The sequence below is a fragment of the Homo sapiens genome, chromosome 16 (genome assembly GCF_000001405.40).
Source record: "Homo sapiens chromosome 16, GRCh38.p14 Primary Assembly".
NCBI lineage: Eukaryota > Metazoa > Chordata > Mammalia > Primates > Hominidae > Homo > Homo sapiens.
This window is the reverse complement of record NC_000016.10, coordinates 21,561,140-21,564,500: the sequence shown is the minus strand read 5'-3', so window position 1 is coordinate 21,564,500 and position 3,361 is coordinate 21,561,140.

The window sequence follows — 3,361 nt, the reverse complement described above, 5'->3', positions numbered from 1 at the left end:
CACTCAGGCTGGAGTGCAGTGGCACAATCTTGGCTCACTGCAACCTCCACCTCCTGGGTTCAAGTGATTCTCTTACCTCAGCCTCCTGAGTAGTTGGTATTACAGGCACACACCACCACAGCCAGCTACTTTTTTTTTTTTGTATTTTTAGTAGAGACGGGGTCTTGCTATGATGCCCAGGCTGGTCTCAAACTCCTAGACTCAAGTGATCTGCCTGCCTCAGCCTTCTAAGGTGCTGGGATTACAGGCATGAGCCACTGCACCCAGCCTAATCTTCTATTCTCAAAAGAAGAAAGTATCCACCCGCAGGTAACAGAATTCTAAAATATTACTGTCTGGACCCTTTTACTTCATTTTCCTAGCTTATACCTGCCAAATTATTGGTAAATTCAGCTCTGTGAGGTGAAGAGGGCCATATAAATGATCATACTCTCACCTTGAATCCTATCTTTAGGATCTTCTACATCACGAGACTAAAGCAAAGTCTGACTCCTTTCCACTCTTCTGCTATCAACATCAGCTCAAAAATACATAAAATTAATAAGGTTGCTTCCTGATGGCATCAGTGAAATAACTTTATGGTCATTCATATAAAAACAGACAACCCTGGCCCAGCGCAGTGGTCCATACCTGTAATCCCAACACTTTGGGAGGCTGAGGCAGGTGGATCACTTGAGGCCAAGAGTTTCAGACCAGCCTGGTAAACATGGCAAGACTGACCCTATCTCTATTTAAAAAAAGAGAAATACAGAGAATCCTTTCAAGATCACCAAGTCAGTATCAATGAGCACCTCTGCAGAAAAAACAGGAGCTCAGAATGGACAAGGCCAGAGAAACCTCAGTAAGGTGAATGTGTCCGTATAGTTTCTTTCGAATTCGTGAAAAGAAAACTTGAGTCCCTATAAACTGTTGCTACTTCAAGAATAGAGAGGGAATTTCTCCTTTCTGGGCTCAGCCTGACATGTCCCTTTTAAGAATAATGGTGTGAGATGCATCGAAGGCTTACTATTTGCCTGGCTCTATGTCTTAGCTTGGGCTGCCATAACAAAATATCATAGTACAGGTTGGGTAGCTATTTATATATTTATTTATTAAGAGGGCCTTGCTCTGTCACCCAGGCTAGAGTGCAGTAGACCAATCATAGCTCACTGTAGCCTCAATCTCCCAGACTCAAGTGAGCCTTCCATCTCAGCCTCCCAAACAGCTAGGACTACAAGAACACACCACCAAGCCCAGCTAATTTTTTTAAACTTTTTTTTGTAGAAACAAGGTCTCACCGTTGCCCAGGCGGGTCTTGAACTCTGGGCTTCAGCCTCCTCCCACCTTGGCCTTCCAAACCGCCAGGATTATATTGTGAGCCCCAAGACCCGGCCTAGGTGGCTTAAACAACAGACATTTATTTCTCACAGTTATGAAGGCTGGGAAGTCTGAGATCAGGGTGCCAGCATGGTTGGATTCTAGTGAAGACTGTCTACCTGGCTTGTAGACAGGAAACTAGCTTCTTGTATGGGAGAGAGAAAAGGAGGGAAGAGGATAAGGGAGAGGGAGGGAGAAGGAGGGAGAGGGAGAAGGAAGGGGAATGGGGGGAGAAAGAGAGAGAAAGGGAGCTCTCTCATGTCTCTTCTTTTTTTTTTTTTTGAGACAGAGTCTCGCTCTGTCCCTCAGGCTGGAGTGCAGTGGTGCGATCTCAGCTCACTGCAACCTCCACCTCCCGGGTTCAAGATATTCTCCTGCCTCAGCCTGCTGAGTAGCTGGGACTACAGGCACACCCCACCACGCCCAGATAATTTTTGTACTTTTAGTAGATACAGGGTTTCACCATGTTGGCCAGGATGGTCTCCATCTCCTGACCTTGTGACCCACCCGCCTCAGCCTTCCAAAGCACTGGGATTACAGGCATGAGCCACTGTGCTCAGCCTCATGTCTCTTCTTATGAGGACACTAATCCCATCATGCAGGCCCACCCTCATCACCTCAACTAAACCTAATCACCTCCAAAGGCCTCATCTCAAAACAGCATCTCTTTAGGGTTTAAGGCTTCAACATATGAATTTGGGGAAGACAAAATTTAATCCATAGCACCCTGTTGGAACATTTCCCTCATTGCTACTAATTTCACAACACCCCTGAAGAAGACACTGAGGCTTAGACAGGTTAATTAAATTGGCCAAAGTTACACAGCTAGTGAGTTTGGAGCTGAGGATTTTTTACTTAGATATGAACTAAAAATCTCTTCAAGATAAAATGGTGGCAGTGCGCGGTGGCTCATGCCTGTAATCCCAGCACTTTGGGAGGCCAAGGCAGGCATATTACTTGAGGTCGGGAGTTTGAGACCAGCCTGGCCAACATGGTGAAACTCTGTCTCTACTAAAAGTACAAAAAAAAAAAAATTAGCTGGGCATTAAGGCTCATGCATGTAGTCCCAGCTACTTGGGAGGCTGAGGCAGGAGAATCACTTGAACCCAGGAGGCAGAGGCTGCAGCGAGCTGAGATCACACCACTGCACTCCAGCCTGGGTGAAACAGCGAGACTCTGTCTCAAAAATAAAATAAAATAAAAATAAATAAAATGGTGTCTCTAATACAAATTTATCAGAAGGAAAAACCTCAGTTTCTAAGAAGATGGTCATATGCTTTTAGTAGAAATGAGTTAAGACACTCTCAACTGGAAGGGATCGCCTCTGACAAATCCCATCAAGTATCTAATAGTTCAAGACCTGCCTGGGCAACTGTGAGACCTTGTTTCTACAAAAAATGTTTCCCAGGCTGGTCTCAAACCCCTGGGCTCAAGCGACACTCCTGCCTCAGCCTCCCAAAGTGCTGGGATTACAGGCATGAGCCATAATCTTTTGGGCCAAATATTTTTAATAATTTAGAATGCCACAAGTACTCATGTTCATTACAGTTAGCAACTGGACTTAATTTAAAGAACCTTGTCAAAGACACAGTGATTATCCCAATGTTCATTTCAGCAATCCTAACAAATGAATACGATTATATGTACACAATTTTTTGGAGTTGTAATTTGTGCATGTTTTTTAATATTGTCTTCTAAAATACATAGTGCTGGCCGGGCACAGTGGCTAACACCTATAATCCCAGCACTTTGGGAGGCCGAAGCAGGCAGATCACTTGAGGTTAGGAGTTCGAGACCAGCCTGGCCAACATGGTGAAACCCGGTCTCGACTAAAATACAAAAATTAGCTGGGTGTGGTGGTATGCGCCTGTAATCCCTGTTACTCAGGAGGCTGAGGCAGGAGAATCACTTGAACCTGGGAGGCAGAGGTTGCAGTGAGCCAACATCGCGCCACTGCACTCCAGCCTGGGTGACAGAGCAAGACTTCATCTTGAAAACAAACAAA